Here is an 18,345-nt window from a genome sequence, read left to right on the forward strand (position 1 = left end):
GTTTGTAGTTGTTTTCAGCCACTCTACTCCCGTTTGAACCCAAGAGTGATGTCAACATGGATAAAACAAGACCCCAGAAACTTTTCATAAGAAGGAGGTGCAGGTAACACATCCCTTTTCAGTGTTTCTATTATTTCCTGTTTACTTCCTGTTTCTGCCAGGACCAATTGGCAACATCCTTCACCCTGGCAGTGGCAGTTGGTTCCAGATTCCACCCTCCAACCCCTGTAGCACCTGAGAACCAGGCTTGAGTTTCTCCTCAAAAATATTAGCACCAGCAGGCAGCACGGTTTCCACAGAGGTCTTGGTCCCAGCTCCTTGGGGACCTCTTTCAAGTTCTAGAGCCTCCAATGCCAACTGAACAGTGCTCCTTCCTCAGTGGTCTGGGTTTCTACTGTGTGGGGACACTCCTCTAGGTTGCAATGATCAAAACTTCTTCCCTTTGATCCACCAGCCCTTAGAATGGTAGCTGCTTCCTGCTTTGACTGCCTGTTAGCTCAAGGCTCCCCTTATGCCTTTTCAGCCCTTCAAAACCTATGTAAACAATTCCTTCTATTACATTTTCTTTTAAAATAACTGTGGTGGTTTCTGTTTGCCTTTCTTGACCTGACTGACACAGCCCTGAAAAGAAGGAACTACCAATTCTATCAAATTCCCATGGCCTCATAGACATTTGTGTATGATTGGTGATCTTTTCTATGAAATCAACTGTTTTCAGAATGAGCTCTGCACACCCTAGAGAAAACCTAAGTGTGATGGAGAAGTGAGGGTAGATGTGGAGAAGATGAATGAGTCCACTTTTCTTCATTATAAATAGCTTCCCTTTAATTATCTCTCTCTCTCCATATATATATATATATATATATATATATATTTTTTTTTAATAGATGGGGTCTTGCTGTGTTGCCCTGGCTGGATTGCAGTGAGCTATGAGCATGACCATAGTTCACTGCAATCTTGAACTCTTGGGCTCAAGTGAGTCTCCTGCCTCAGCCAGCAGAGTTGCTGGGACTATAGGCACATGCCACCATGCCTGGCTCTGTATTGTATGTTTTGGTAAGATTTCATGTTAAAAGTATTCCAAGGATGTTCTCTTTGGATATTTATTTATTTTAAAAAAGTATTCATTTACTTTACGAGAATGTGTTAAAGTAACATTGTCTAGCTATTTGATTGAAGTTGTCTCTTTCTACTCCTGCCAGAAATAAATTCTCCCTACGGTATGTGTCAATAAACTATGTTTATCTTAGTCTTAACACGTTCTGTTTAATATTAGGGTTATATGTTACATTTTTCTTCCCTACTTGACTGTCCTCTCCAGGAAGGCAAGAAACTGGTCTGTATCATTAATAAGCACTTAACAAGGACATAAAAGTCCTTAGAATGAGTCTTTACATACAAGCTGGAGTACAGTGGACAAGTTAGTTAACTCTCTTTTAGCCTATTGGTTTATTTTAATACAAGGATAATAATACCTACTTTATACAAATTGTATGATCATTTGAAACTTAAATGAAATATTAATTATTCTTATTATTAGTTGTTCTGCAAAACTTCTCATTGTCGACATTCCAGCACTTCCACTCACTTGGTCCTCAGAAAATATCTATTGAATAAAATGAACTCTTGCAGTTACTTTGCCACATGACAAGCCACCCAGAAACTTGGTGGCTTAAAATAGCAAACTGAGGATTCTTCCCGAATTGCTATACATTTTGTTTATGCATTCAAGGTGTAAATGGAGCCTTTTCTATGTAAAAACAACCAAGCTGTAGACTTCTTTGTGTAAATTTACTGTGTAAAAATAAGATTTTTTTTTTCTTTACTATTAGGTCAACTAGCCTCATTTACATCTTTTATTAAACATACTCACAACTGGTGGTATTTTTTTCCTTTATGAACAAAGCGAAATTATAGATTCCACCCAAATCATGTTGGAATCCTGCTAGGTGAAAATTATATGTCTGTAAGAGCTACGTGGAATCTAGTTTCCAGATGGAATTCCCTTCTTGCCAATTTTGGGAATATTCTACAAAGTTTCCCCTTAGAAACCATTTACATGAAGTGAAAAATTTACTCTAGGAAAATGATTGGAGAGAATGCTTGTGAAATGTGAAGGCATGACTTGCATATGGACAGTATACACATTCATAGATATTTTACCCGTGCCGTTGAGATAGCTAGTAATAATGTGTGTTCTCATTGTGTTTGCTCTTGTCTGTAGAGACCACCAGAAACTGATTTAGCCTGAGGAATATATTTCAAACTGAAATTTTTATTGTAAAGTAATTGCAAATAACGTGTAATTAAAAGTGATGAGAACCCCTTACATTTGTATAGCATGTTTACTTTCCAAAGCACGTCATGACCTCTTGCTTTTATAATTCTAAAAAATTCTTGAAAGATAGGAAAGGCAAGTTCTATTAATATTATATTTGGACAAAGAGGCAAATAGATATTACAGCTGAGTATTCTTAAATATGCAAGTGATATTTTGTTTTGTTGACACCTTGGTTTGTTGATTTGAAAGCCCAGTGCTTTTGATTTAGCTTCAGGTTTGGTAAAAAAGGAGAACAGTATTTACTGAATGAATAAACTTCCCCTTTGTAACATATTTGTGTCACAACTCTGCAATTATACAAAGAGACTGATGTCTGCCTTGTGGGAACTATAATTGCCACTTGGACAAGTTTCATGTGGTTGACATTAATAGACCATGCTGATTATGACTGACAACCAGGGGTTCTTAAACTTATCCAGTAAAAGGGTTTTTTCCCCTAATATCAAATTCACAAGCCACTATTCTATAGTAATAAAAAGGCAACTATGAATTTGGTAACGTTTAAAAAGTTATTTGCATTTTATTAACTACAACTAATGTATACATTTGTAAAGTAGTAACAGATGTATGCATGAAACATGCTATTCATGATAAAAGCTAGTCTTCATACACATAGGAATTCTCAAAACTCTTGAACTAACCCAGTGTTCCCCTGGGAGATCATGGTTAATGAGTTGGGAAGCTTTGGCATAACTAGAGATAGCCATTACACTACATTCCATGTGTCAATGCCAACAGGAGGAATGACCGCCTGAAGAGGTGTGTTGAAAAGGATTCTGAGAGCTAGTTTGGGTTCAGAGCAAAGAGTACTGTCATTAATTAGTGATGTTTGCCAGAGGAGGAGGAAGTAATGGGTGGGAAGAGCCAAACATTTGCCTTACCTGACTTAGACTATGTGGACCACTTGACTCCAGCAAAGGATAATGGAGATGACCACTAATATCTAGATATAACAAAGGATTAATCTAAGAAGTCAGTTAAAATATACTTTTAGGCCAGGTGTGGTGGCTCACACCTGTAATCCCAGCACTTTGGGAGGCCAAGGTGGGTGGATCACTTGAGGTCGGGAGTTCAAGACCAGCCTGGCCAACATGGTGAAACCCCGTCTCTACTAAAAATGCAAAACTAGCTGGGTGTGGTGGTGCAGGCCTGTACTCCCAGCTACTTGAGAAGCTGAGGCAGGAGAATCATGTGAACCCGGGAGGCAGAGGTTGCAGTGAGCCAAGATTGTGCCACTGCACTCCAGCCTGGGCAACAGAGCAAGACTCCATCTCAAAAAACAAACAAACAAAAAACTTTAAAAACTACTGTAAAATATAAAGCTTATTTTAAAATAAGCACATTTAAAAACAGGTTACATTTACTGAATATTTTATTCCAAACTTCCCCTGCTATTAAGCACCTTGTTCTTGATCCTACAGCTTGAGGAAAACCTCTGTTTTTCTCTCAAGACAAATTGATGATTGAAGTATCCTAGTCCCTTCTATGATTTTAGCCATTCGATGAAGGATCTTTGCACCCATCAGTTGATACTCACTCATGTTGCAGCCATCTCACATAGCTTGTAGTTTTTGTTTGTTTGTTTTTTTCCAGAAACAAGGTCTCACCCTGTCACCCGAGCTGGAATGTAGTGGCACAATCACGACTCACTGCAACCTTGAGCTCCTAAGCTCAAGCAATCCGCATGCGCCACCATGCCTGGCTAATTTTTAAATTTTTTGGTAGAGATGGGGTTCTCCCTGTGTTGCCCAGGCTAGTCTTGAGCTCCTGGGTTCAAATGATCCTCCTGCTTCAGCCTCCCAACGTGTTGGGATTACAGGCATGAGCCACCATGCCTGACCCATCTAACTGGCTGTTCTTTTCACGAAAGACAAGTCATTCCCTGACACCATTTACTCAGAAATGGGAGGGAGTGGAGATATGGAGAAAAGTATCTGGTAGATGACTTTGCTCTATCTGTGCAATATCACTGTTTATAGACATGCATTTCCCTAATAATTTAAGTCACTTGCCCTATGAACTAGCCAACCTGCTTCCTCACTGGTTTTTGAAATATCTTTAGAGAAAAAATATTCCAGTGATATGTTTAATTTATATGTTAACCATTCTTGGAATCTCCCAGTCCCTTCTAAAACTCTTTTGCCTTAGCTTTATCCCACTCTGACTGTATTGAAGATAATTAAACATAATCACATCATCTGACCCTTATGTACCTGTTCAGATGGTAATTGTCTTTCAGAACTCCATCTTAAGATAGCACCTTCTTAGCCGTCCCTGGAAATTAATTGCTCTGCCTCTAGATCGGCTTTGTTTCTATCTTAATTATTGCTCTGCCTGAAAAGTCTATTTTTTGCTTGGGCTTTTTGAGGTGAGGATACATGTCTTAGTCATCCTTGTATCTCCAATGCCTCGAACTGTGAATAGCTCCTGGTAAATGGGCATAAACACTGGGTAGGACTGACACTCCTCTGAGGCACTTACCTCCCGTGGAGGGAGACCTGATTTGATTTTTTTACTCTCTTTCTACCCTCAGCATATTCCCCAGTAAAAGCTAGCTTGTACCTTTTTCTTTACTTGATATACTCTCTCCCTATTTTTTTGGAGATTATATCACTTTTTCAATACTCTATATAGGTAGAGTCATAAATAAAGATAACTAAGGTGAATGAGATTTGCCACATTTATATGTAGGAATTTCTAAACACCTTAGAATGAAGTGCCTTTATAAGAAGAATGAGGCCTACTTTCATGGGATATTTAAAGTATAAATGCTATTTTTTTATTTTGTTTTTAAAAAGATGTATCTACCATGATACGTCATAACTTTAGAATAGTTTTTGACTTTTAACATGAAAATGAAAACCAGCATTTAGCCACTCAAGCCATGTTCCTGAAGGGGAGCCAGGCAAGGTGGAGAGTGATGATGGGGTACAGCTCTGTCTGTGTTAAGAGCTTTCAGGTGTCCTGGCTTCAGCAAGGTTCTGGCCCAGGCCGTGAGACAAATGCTTGGCAATCTCGGGATGGAGTTTGCAGAGCAGGCAGAATTTTCTCCTCATAACTTTAGAACAGATGAATACACATTTCCTAGATTCCTTGAGGGGAGCGCCAGCTCAGGGCTATCCATAGTCCACAATCGGGCAGGGTGTTGGGCTTCAATTCTTCTCTAAGCGTGTGAGGCATGAGAAAACGGGGCAACCCTGCAGGTCGGGAGGAAGGGGTAGACATGTGGCTGGGGCTCCACAAGAGTGACGGTCATTTCATCAACATCCAAAGACCTTGCATGAAGATCTAACCTCCATCACTGTACCCACAAGTGCTCCCATGTGCCCACCTTACCTTTGGTGGCATCTCTTCTTTCGTACCCTGTGGAGGAAGGTGACTTCCATGGCCACACCTCTTATACCATCCATATTTACTGAGCCCATGCTTAATGTATCAGACAGGGTCCTCAGCTCCGTGGACACAGTGATAAGCAAGTAACACATGGCTCCAGCTGCCATAGAGTTTTTACCCTAGTGAAGGGAAAGTAAACAAGTAAGTGACATATTTTGTTAAATTCTGTGTACTGTAAAGGAAATGAAACAGAGTTATGTAATAGAGAAGGACATTATGGAGTGAGGGTGGTGGCAGGGGGTTACTTTAAGTTTGATCCCAGACTTTCTTGATCAGAAAAAGTCGTGGCTGGGCATTCTGCACAAGTCTTTGCATCTGTGTGCTTATTCTTTCATTCATTTGTTCATTCATTCATTCTTTCATTCATTCCATAACCATAAATGCTTTGATCTATTTAGCTCATTGCCTGGCATTGTTAACATATACAGATTAGGCAGGCTTCCAAATTATTTTAGCCCTGAGGATATATTAATTCATTCAATTAAAGTAATTATTCAAGTACTGTGTTGACAATCCCACCTGCATACAGCCATTGGTATGGGGCAAAGGCTGGTAAAAGAACACAAGATGGTGTGATTCATTTAGGGTCTGACAAAGTGAACGGTGGCATTTTTATGAACTGGATCAGAATCTAACAAAATGCCCGGAATTGTTAAGCTCCTCACACTGTGATTTGGCCTATGGGCATGTCACTGGAACCAGTGGTCTCATCATTCTTTGCTATTCCTTCCCTCTATTTTTCTATATCATAACAATTCCAGTCTGATTTCTCTCTAACATACTTCCTGTGAAAACCTTTAAAACAAGGGCTTGGAGAGATACTAAGAAGAAAAGAGACTGTATTATAATTACAAAGTGAATTTTATTTATTTAAACTGATTATGTGACAGTTGCTACTCTGTAAGCAGCCCTCCAAAATTATTTTTGTCCTCTGAAAGAAGGTATTTCATGGCTAGAGAAGCTCCTAAAGACTCTTTAAGGTTTCCCTAGAGCCTATAAAAATTGAAATTTTTTGTTTTACTCCTGAGGAGGAACATTCCTTAGAGGCCCAGCAAGTCTTTATAGATGCAATCATAATTTGCAGCTATTTATTGCAAATGCACTGGGTGCTGAAGTTGGGCATTGCAGCAGATACTGTTGCTGTCCTGCCCATGGTCCTCCTGTCTATGCTCACCATGTCCATACAACCTGACATCCACTCAGGAGAAAGTGTGTTGCTCTATGAAGGCATTCTCTGGCTGCTGGAACCTGCTCTGCTGAAGATCAGGCAAGTCCAGAATGCCAAGGAATTGACATCCACTACATCCCAGCTGTCCTAGATCCACGAGTGATGGGATTGGTGGATAAGTACCCATCTCCTTTGCTCCTCAGACAAGCCAACTCCGAAGTGTATGTTCTATACCATTTCCCAAAGTTTCCCAGTGGGCTGTAGCCCTAGCTGTCCACAGTGGCAACTGCTTTGTCCTTCAAATATATTTGTTTGCATTATCCTCCAAATAAATTACTTGTGCTGAAATCTCTGCCTGAAGGTCAGCTTGTGGAAGAGCCAAACTAAGACAGGTACATTGCATACATTATCTCAGTTAATCTTTCCTACCTCTCCAAGGCGAAACATTGCACTCCCCGTTTTACAGATGAGAAAACTGGGATTCAGGAGGTTATTTTTTTCTCTCTCTCTCATTCCAAATATTCTCTGTCTCTCCTCTCTCTCTTATTCCAAATCTCCTTTTCTTTATATTTTATTGTGAAGAAAGTGGCCACAGTATATGGTCTCTTAGGAAGGTGCAGCCATGTGGTTAATGAATTTTGCAGCAGAAGAATAAATCAAATATTTATTGATTCAAATTGGTGTAGGCATGGTAAAAAAATGTGAAAAGTAGAACTTTGTTTATTCATTCCACAAATGTTTATTTTCTGCTACCAAGTGCCAGGTACTCTGTTTCTTCCTGAGTGTATAGTGGCAAGGGAGAGGAGGCCCTCTGAGAACAGCAGACTGCATTCTAATTTGTATGAAGTTCTTACTGAAATGAAAGTTTCTGTGATGTTAAGATTGTATGCTACTATTCAGTAAATGTCTAGAAAGGGCAATCTGATTTCCGAGCTTCTACCATGATGCCAGTTAGGTGGCTATATGTCAGAAAGCAGAGTCCAGGTTCTCTCTTTTTACTTTCTGGATAGACCTTTACTCTTTAGATGGCAAATTTTATGTTTTCCTCCCACTAGACTATAAATGTCTTTTGTAGATAATGAATATGTCTGCCGCTGCATTGAATTTGAATAAGGACTAATGGCCAGTATCAGAACATAATTAAATGCAGGATCCACATCAACTAACAAAATTAGATGCAGGACCCCTTTCAAAAGTACTTGTGCTGAGGAAGTACTGAACATGTCAAGAGGATACTTCCTCCATACTTCTATTCAATTAAAAAAAAAAAGAAAGAGAAAGAAGCTATTGATTTCAGTTAGTGGGAAGAAATTGGGTTTAGCCTTGATGGTGTCTTAACTACAAACGAAACCAATATCCTGGTGTTGTTCCTGTTCCATTCCTCATGCTCTGATGATTTCACAGTTGACTAGTGATTTGCACCTTGCTTCAAATTACTTAGGATGTATTATGGCATTATCTATGAAAACAGTTTGACTCAAGAAAAAAAACAGCTTGTAGACAAAGAGAGAAGCTCAGTGGCTGTGCAGTCACAGAGCAGAGAGGGCTTAAAAGGTTTGTCTGGACATGGAAGCACCATCTTTGTGTCAATAAGGTGAGTTTGTTCCACACACTTTGCCTTTTGTGTGCTTCTTTTATTTTTTCTATTATCCGTCTTCTGCTGTTCTTGCATCCTTTCTCCTCAGATAGATCTTCTGTATCAAAAGGCCATGCTCTAAGCCATCTTCCTTTCTCTTCCTCCTCCCTGTCAGCAATCTCAATCTCCATGCAAAGTATCACTCTGTCATGCAATAAGACATTGTCCCCACCTTGGGAACATTTTTGCTCTCTTAGAAGTATTAGAAGATGGAAAAATATTCAAGACCCAAAGGATGAACCCATAATAATGGAATTTCTGTTCACTTTGCAAGACCTCCAAGAATGGAAGGGGGGATATTTTTGAAACACATTTCTATATAGTTCCTATCATTTTCACTGAGATCACTAGAATATAGAAGATATTTAGGAGCTCATGTAGTGAACACTAAAGCCAATTGCTGACAACCACTGATTGACAGCTATGCATTCAACACTGACATACGTTCTGTGAGGAATTAAGAAATTAAAAAGAAGAAAAAGTAATACATGGTCCTGATCCTATAAGAGATTACTGCTGGCTAGGAAATGTATATAATATGCACAAAAACGATTGATGTTAAAATCTGTTGATTGGCATAGTCAGAGATGAGCAAAAGAAAGGAGGTGGGAAATGGGGATGATCTGAAATGAAAGGTAGAATTCATTTGCAGGAAGAAAAGAAGGTAGCACAGGTGAGGGCATGGAAACTGGAACAAACAGGGTACACATGGAATACTGGGATGTGGCTGAACTGAAAGTCCATGTTGGGGAGTTGTGAAATACAAGTGGGTAGTGAGATCAATGTCAAGCTACGGAGGGCCTGGGATCCACAAAGATGATGGAGCTTATGGGAAGCAGGGCCCCAGTGTGTCCTTAGGCAGGGTCATGCCTGGCAGTTGGGTACAAAAGGGGCTGGAAGCAGAGGAGGGGGAGAGAAATCCAAGTAAGGAGACCGACTGAGCAAGAATCCAGTCCACAAGAAAGGGGCCTTGGGCCTGGGCGATGCCAGTGGGAATGTAAGGAGCCATCCAAAGAGCATGTCCAGAAGACAACAGGATACATTCAAGATGGAGAACGCATCAGAAGGGATTAAGGGGGTTTATGCAAATGGCCCCAGACACCTCATCCCAATATTACTCCTAGCAGTAATGTACCAAGCACCGACTCCATACCAGGCCCTATTCTAAAGGTTTTCTTTTTTTAACTTATTTTACCCTCATAATGATATGAGGTCTCTTTATTTCCACTTTCTAGAGGCACAGGTAAGTTAAGCAATTTGCTCTAGGCCTCACCAAAAAATTAGTTGAAAACAACTTAGTTGTCAACTTGACAATTCTATAGTTTGCCCATATTTCTCAGAAGTAAGTCTATTTATCTTTCTGTACCATTTTTATTTTATTTTATTTTATTTTTTTGAGACAGAGTCTTGCTCTGTCACCCAGATTGGCGTATAATGGTGCAATCTCAGCTCACTGCAACCTCCGCCTGCCGGGTTCAAGCAATTCTCCTGCCTCAGTCTCCCAAGTAGCTGAGATTACAGGCATGTGCCACCACACCCAGCTAATTTTTTGTATTTTTAGTAGAGACGGGGTTTCACCATGTTAGCTAGGATGGTCTCGATCTCCTGACCCCATGATCTGCCTGCCTATGCCTCCTAAAGTGCTGGGATTATAGGCATGAGCCACTGCGCCCAGCCCTTTCTGTACAATTTTGAATAAACTTCCCTTCTTCTCAGCCTCTTGGATGTTTGTTTCACCTTGTCACTGTAAAACTGAAGCCTGGCTTTCCCCTGAGGTACCATCTCCTCCTAACCTTCAACAGGGGTTGGAGGGGGAAACTACTCCTTTGTATGTCATCTCCCTGCCACCTGCGGAGTACGGAGGAAGAGCCAGGGCATCCCTTGCACTTCCGGGCCACTTTCTTGTCCTGCAGAGATACCACCAATCCCATCTTGGCTTGTGTCCACAACCCTCATGGGCTCTCCCTTTCCACCCTCACTGCCTCCATCTGTGGTGGTCCAGGGCTGTTTCTCAGTGGCAGGACACTGGCCACCTTCTTGCCTATTCTTCTCTGCCATTGTTTCTGGGGATATTACATCCTGATGTAGCAGTTCCTGTATTCTTCTGCCTCTATTTCAGCCGCCATCCCAGACCTTGCCTTACCTACAGCTTCTGCATCACTGTGATTCTGAACATAGAACTCCTCTCTGCCACCTTTGATCTCTTGTCCTCCCTCACTTCCTTCTTTGCCTTCTCTCAGTCCTTGGCTTTGCTGATGCTCTGTTCCCTGGCATGCTTCCTGGTCTCCCAACTCATCTCTATTCTTGGGCTTATAAAAAGTTTTTTCCGCCTCCTTCATCCATCTTGGATCCTATGGTTGATTATATCAACAATGGTCTTGTATGTGCCCCTTTCTCCTCTTTGTTTTTTGTCCTTTCCCTTCTTTATTAGTCACTTAGTTCTCATCCTTGGGGAAATACTGCTACTCATATTTTCCAATTCTCTTCCAAAACTATCAACATAGGGATGACAGGCCAGCTGTATTTTCCCATCACACATGCTCTCCTTCCACACTTGAACTTCTGTTGCTTCTCAGCTGGGCCCTTACCACTTATCAGTACTCCTAGGGATCATCTCTAATCACTTGCCTACTACATCCTTCCCTGCATTCAATCCCAGTGTTCCCTGCTCCACTCAAGGAATGGCAGTTCAGGAAAGAGTACTCATTATACCACCCATTGTGCGAAGCATTTGATATGATTGCATATATTCAAACCTCAACCTGGTGTAGGTAGTGTTATTCTCATTTTTTTCATATGATAACTCTGGGACTGAGACAGTAACTTACACAGAACTCAAAAAAAACTTTATGTTTCATGTCTGTTTGATTCCCACACCTGTGGGTTTTCAGGTCGTAATAAAGCCTCCACTGCTGACCTGACCTTCTGCCAAGTTTACTCTGTAGATTACTTAGTTTCTTTCTTAAATGAGATAAATGAACCTGTAACATGGGACTTTCCAGTTCCTTCTTCTTTTCCACCACATTTTTTTTGTATCTTCATCCATTTCCTTCTCCTTCTTTTCTGTCTAAAAGAAGGAATTATCCCCTAATCTTCCTTACAGTCAGCTCCTCTGCCTTTGTTATGGATTCCAACTCTTCTACCTCTTTCTCCAGATTGATGATCTGTCAGTTATCCTCCTCTTTCTGATCACTTTTCATTCCCCCTTCCAAACTAAATATTTTTCTTTCACAGCAAACAAATCTGTCCTCTTACTTAAAAACAAACAAGCAAAAAACTACTTTTCTTGACTTTAAGATCCTGAACAAGCTTATCTTCTACCTTTCCTAAAACTCCTTGAATAAAGAGACTACATTTACTGTTTTTACCATCTCCCCGCAATGATCCCAAATCATTTTCAATGTGGCATCTTCCTCTTTCCTGATCCCAAACCATTTCCTTAAAGTATATACCAACAACCACATAGGAACAGAGCCAACTTCTGTATTCTGGGTGCTCATTTTTCTTAAGTTTTCTGTAGCTTTGAGTGCTTCAACACTATCTCTTCTTTTTTGAAAAAGGCTTTCTCTTGACTTTTCTATGTTTTCTTGGTTCTTTTTTCACCTATTGGCCCACATCTTTCCCAGGTGCTCTTTCCTAGCTAATCTTCTTCCTTTATTTCCATTTTGTCTCTCTTTACTCTTTCCTTTAAGTAATGTGTCTTACTTAACTGCAGGCTTAGAAGACTATACCCTTCTCTAACTTTGACTTTTCAAGTGAATTCAGTTTGGACATCTCCTTCATTTGTTTCACTGGCCTCAGATTTACTTTGTCTAATACTAAATCTATCATCTTATTTTTCTTTCCCTTCCTGTTTTTTTTCTATTAATAACACCATTATTCAAGCCTTAAATCCCGTTGCTCATAACTATTTCTTTCACCTTGTTCCCACATGTAATTTGTTGTCAATTATTTTCCAGCCTTTTTTCTCTCCACATCTGTTGAATATTTCCCACCTTTTCCCCTCTTGCTATCATCCAAGTTTATTCTATTTCCTATCATTTCAGTACTTGTTTTATTAACTAGTTTCTTACCTTATGTTCCAATGTTCTTTCCCATAACTAAACTTGGTGCAGTAAAATCCATGCCTTATGCTTTTCGGGCCCTGTACCTATGCTCACAGTACCTCTACAGAATCTTGTTTTCTATTTCTTATTTAAATCCCATTATTCTAGGGAGTTTGCCATAAATACATTTCTTCCAGGAAATTTTTCTGGTCTTCTGTTCTCTGCTTTTTATCCCTAATCTGGTAAGAATCTTTCTTGCCCCTAAACTCCTAAAACATCTTTTTCTCATACTTCTAGTTTATTGTCTTAATCCTAATAGAAAACAATAGCAAGAATGAACTTTTGAGCCCCTCCACCCAAATTGACTCATCTTTATCACTTACTAGCTGTGTGGCCTTAAACTAGTTATTTCACATCTCTGAGCTTCATATTACTCATCCAAGTAACTAAAATAATAAGGCCTGGCCTTCAGGTATATTGGGAAGATTAGAAACAATATATGGCATGGTCCTTAACAGTGTGTTTGGCCCAGAACCACCATTCAATAGATGTTGAGTGAAACACTTTCTCTAGGTAGAGTATGGGGTGCTGAAGAGTATGTACAGACTAGGGTATAGAGTAGGCATTCAAAAATATTTGCACAGTGAAAGGGCTGGGATTATAAGAGGCAAACATCTACCATCAATCCTCTGTCAGTTTTAAAATCTGTCCACCAGATATCAGAGAAGAATAAAATTAGACTGGGTGAATGTCTGACCCATTTATCATCTATCAGGGAGTAACTTTTGCCTGAAGACATCCCCCCAGGACAATAGAAACCAGCATTCTAACATTGAATTTCAACTGTTTGTAGTGAGGACAGCCATCCCTGGTCCCATTTTCTGAGCTGAGTATTAAATTTACTGTTTCCTAAGCTTGAAGGAATTCTACACTTGCATGCATTTTAAAAAATAATAGCTATTGGTTGTGCTACAGTGACTTTGCCAATTCCCTTAGTTTCCAACTCTGCTAATATCCATCCTGCTCTTAACAGCTTCCTGACTTGTTTCCTTTCTCTAGTCCCAGTTTGCTTTTCTCTTCACAAGTGATATCCACGTGGGTTTACTAATCAGATTTGCATGTTTTTCAATAGCACACTCCTCAAAGTGTCCGTTTTCTATCAGCTAAAAGAAGCAAAATTAAGATCTTTTGTTTTCCAACATAGAAGTGTGTCTGCATGTTCCAGAGTGTGGTTTTGGAGTTCAGACTGCCTAGATTTGAATCCTGGCTCAAGCCCCTGTTAGCTCTGTGAGTCTAGGCAAACTCATGCCATTGCGGACCTCAGTTTGTTTCTCCATAAAATAGGAACGAGAATTAATTATGTCTAATCTGAAATAGTATCATTGGGAGAACCTAAATGAAATAAGGCAATTGAAAACTCTTAAGATAGTGCATATCTCATTGTAAGAGCTCGATATACATTAGCTGTTAATAACAACATTTTATCATAAATCATTTATAACTAGCAACTTCATGGTTGATTTATGCTTTAGCTTTCCAAATTGTATTTCTATTTATTCATTCTACGTTTGTGGATGTTTATTTTTTTGTTGGTTTGTTTTTATTATCCCTTAGGATGAAATTTCACTTAATGAGCGAGGCTTCATGTTGTCCCAACTACCCACCTTGCACAGCGTTGACATCTGAGCGGGGATAGTGTGAGCAAAAGATAATGGACTAGAAAGCATCTCACACTCTACAGTGGAGATCTTCTCTCAACCTCTAATTTGGTGGTTCTCATCTTTCTTTGCTTTTTCCTGCTTCAGAATGCCTAATGTACTCCCATCAATATCAGTAGCTGGCTGATTTTCATGAAGTACAGATTAAAAATGAGCAATCGGAAAACTGACTCAGTTCCAGGGTGCCTGCCAGCATACACAGTAACTTCATACAAATCAGAGAAAAACCACCCTTTGGGAACAGAGGCAACCCCATAGGTGCGTGGCTTGACAGTTTAATTGCTTTTGTGCAAGAGAAAGTAGTTCGTTCTTAGGGGTCAGAGTGGGGAGGTTGTCACCCTTGAACTTGAACACAGACCTTGGCAGCTGACCCTGGCTGGATGTCAGCCCTATCCACTCCTTGACTTAGCACAACCTGCATGGAGGCCTTGTCCTGTAGGCATATGTCTCCCCACAGCAGGTAGGAATCACCGTTGTACTCGGAGGCAGGATCGCTTCCCCCTCGCCCCTACGGTCAGCTCTCTGTACCTGGGGGATCCGCATCTGCAGATTCAACAGTTGCTGATTGAAAATATTCAGAAAAAAAAAATAAATAACAATACAGCAATTAAAAAATAGTGCAAATAAAGAATATAGTATAGCAACTATTAACATCACATTTACATTTTATTAGGTATTATAAGTAATCTAGGGCCTATTTTAAATGTTTAAGAGGATGTGCATAGGTTGTATGCAAATACTATTCCATTTTTTATCAGAGACTTGAGCATCTGTGGTTTCAGTGTCTGTGGGAGGTCCTGGAACCAATTCCCTTAGGATACCAAGGTAGGACTGTATAGTAACATCTGCTCTGCACCTCACCATCCCACCACTACAAGGTACCTCTTTGTTGCTTTTCCTGGATGATGAATCTGCAAGAAAGTTTGAAAGCCATGCTGATGAAAGTTTTTCTGCTGGCATTAAAGATGTGGCAAGCTTTCTGTTAGGTAGGAATGAAAGGTGGGGACAAATTCTTTTCCTTGGCAACTGCATGAGAGTATCCAGGAAAATCACATTCAGATGGGAGATCATTTAATGCAGCCTATGGAGGGTGAAAACAGAACTACATTTGTCAGCATTTACAGCCATCATTGTGTTCCCTCAGCAAACCTCCCCATGCTGCAGCAGCCACACCCCGCAGTCATCCATCATGCTGGCTGAAGAGCCCTGGCCGCCTGCCACACACGTGCCAAGGGGAAGCCCCATGCCCCGTTAGTGTCAGCATGTGCTGTGACTTGTAACAAAGACAGGAATGAGTCCTCGTCCAGATAGCCATGTAATCCTCAGAGAAGAGTGCACTGTGGCTGCTGCAGGCTTGCCCAGAAAGTCTCCTACCATCTGAAGGGTAATTCTGATGGCAGAAAACATTCAATCCCACTATTCTTAGCCTGACTTTCTACTTCTAGCTTTTTCAGGCTCATCAAACCCTCTAAAATCATTTGAGGAGAAGAAAATGTTCTTCGTTGCGTTCTATAAGGGAAATATATTGCAAAAAAAGGAACCATAGGCGAACAAAGAAAGGGAGGAGATGGGGCCACCCCTATTCTTCCATTAAATTTATGTCACTCAGCCTTGAGAGTCAAGCAAAATGTTTGAGGCCAAATACATCTTTTATTAAGTTGTAATACAAAGATAAGTTATCTAGATTTTTGACTGATTTGGCACTTCACAATGTTATACTTTTTCGAATCCCAAATTCTAGCAACTATAAGATGCCACTGTAATTTTGTATACCTTTAGAATACATTAAATATGATACAATGCCTTATTACCCCTTAAAATTTGTATTTTATATTTATCAAAAGAGCACTTTTAGATTCACTTTAGACACAGGCTTTTGTGACATATCACTCTTTCGCACACAGAAAAGGAAAATGAAAGTGAAATAAGGAGAATGAGGTATTCCTTAGCCTTCATAAAGTTGGAATCTTCTGAATCACTGTGCTGCTCAAAGTCACTGATAGTCAAGTTTTCTTTTGGCATAGGATTTGCCTCTGTGACATCAGAAAGTATTGATGATGTGGCCTCTCCTGAAAACAAAACAAAACAAACATACAGGCTTGGTTTTCCAATTTTAAAACTATATTGTTGTTTTGCCCCCCCCCGGTAAGTCTGTCAACTGAGCACAGTGTAGTTTTTACATCCTTACTTTGGTGTTTCCCTGAGCTGGTAGAGTTGTATTTGAGACAAAATAACTATTCATTCAATTGGATTGCTGCATTCTACTTCAGTAACAGAGAAGAAAAACCAGCAAGATATCCCTGTAAAGCATTGCTATGGTTTTGGAATCCTGCAGATAAAATGGAATGTCTTCAGGTGTTTGAAAATCTGGGTCATATGTCTCTACTTGGGAACTTGAAAAATGTTTGATAAATGTGTTTGATTTCAAGATGATGGTGTTTCTTTTGGTTTGTCAGAAACTGGCTCTGATACATATTTGTAAGAAAGAGGAAAAATCTCGAATTACTCATTAGACTATCAACAATATGCCCATTCTTTGAAGTCTGACTGAAATCCTTTCTTCTCTATGGCATCTTCTAGATTTCCGCTTGGACTGATCTCCACTGTATCTGAATTTCTATAGTGTTTTTGCTCCCCTTTTCCATTCCTTTTCTCTATTTTTAGTTTTTTTTTTTTTTTTTTTGAGACAGGGCCTCACTCTGTCACCCGTGCCGGACTACAGTGGCGTAATCACAGCAAACTGCAGCCTTGAATTTCTGGGCTCAAGTGATCCTCCTGCCTCAGCCTCCCAAGTAGCTGGGACTACAGGCACGCACCACCATAGCAGGCAAACTTCTTTTGTATACATAGGACATCACTATATTGCCCAGGTTGGCCTTGAACTCCTGGCCTCAAGTGATCCTTCTACACATATTTTACAGCTGTGAACCTCCATGCCCAGCCTGGTGTATTATTTTTTAAATCAGACTTTTAAATCAGATTTTTAATGAGGTTTTTTTTCATCAGATTCTGTCTTTGGATACCTGTTATATTATTTTTAAAATTTGACGGGTATGTGCGAGTTTTAAAATTTGAGACAAAAAGTTGGATAAAAGACATCTGAGAGGCAATCCCTCTCAGTTGGACAGGGAGAAAGGAGGGAGAGAGGAGGGGAGTAAACCCAATGAAGGGTACATTAACAAATGGGTTATTGCTGTGGCAACAAGGGTTCATTTTTGTTGGAGACTGTGGTAGCCTGAACTATGGCCTCAAAAAGAGGTCCGCGTCCTAGTTCACAGAACCTATGAATATGTTTCCTTGCATGGCAAAAGAGACTTTACAGATATTGATGAAGTTCAGGATATTGGGATGGGAGGATTCTGGATGATCCACATGGGCCCAATGTGATCGCAATGGTCCTTATATGAGGAAGGCAGGAGGGTCAGAGTCAGAGAAGACAATGCACCGTAACAGCAGAAGCAGAGGGAGGGAAGGAGATGTGATAGTGGAATCAGATGTTGCAGTGACGTGAGGAAAAAGCCATGAGCCAAGGAATGCATGTGGCCTCTGAAAGCTGGAGAACACAAGGGCATGGATTTGCTCCAGTGCCTCCAGCAGGAATGCAATCCTGCCCAAGCCATGATTTTTGCTCAGTAAAATTCATTTCAGAATATTGGCCTGCAGAACTGTAAGGTAATGCATTTGTGTTGTTCTAAGTCACTGAGTTTATAGGGGGGTTGTTACAGCAGCAGTAGGAAACCAATAGAAGGGTTCATTTTTCTGAGAAACCATATGGACCAGGCTTCATAGCTGTGCCAGTGAGGTTCGAGGAGGCTGAGGTATTTGCCCATCAATTCTCATCACTTACTGGATAAGGATTATTCCCAGAGGTGGCAGCTTTCTATCGGTTCTGGCTTGTTCAAGCTGTGCACCCTCCTGTCCCCTCTAGGGGCCAGAGAAAGTCTTTAGAAAGACAGGTCTATATAAAATAAGATGCCATAGGCTTGTCTACAACTTGTCTACTGATGATGCATGTGACATGTGGGATGGATCAAGGGAAGATG

The 18,345-nt window shown here is 40.3% G+C and overlaps 1 protein-coding gene across 5 annotated transcripts in view, besides 1 other annotated feature; it reads left to right on the plus strand.

Annotated features, from left to right (window-relative positions):
• MACROD2 (mono-ADP ribosylhydrolase 2) overlaps positions 1-18,345 on the plus strand; it is a 2,057,682-nt gene that overhangs the window by 1,464,618 nt on the left and 574,719 nt on the right. The window lies entirely within an intron of this gene.
• Positions 15,611-15,670: an enhancer, noted in NCBI's record as "active region_17556". NCBI's record gives its function as "activates an Ori minimal core promoter by ATAC-STARR-seq in GM12878 lymphoblastoid cells {active_cell/tissue: GM12878}" and the evidence as "EXISTENCE:reporter gene assay evidence [ECO:0000049][PMID:35858748]".

The sequence above is a fragment of the Homo sapiens genome, chromosome 20 (assembly GCF_000001405.40).
Source record: "Homo sapiens chromosome 20, GRCh38.p14 Primary Assembly".
Taxonomy (NCBI): domain Eukaryota; kingdom Metazoa; phylum Chordata; class Mammalia; order Primates; family Hominidae; genus Homo; species Homo sapiens.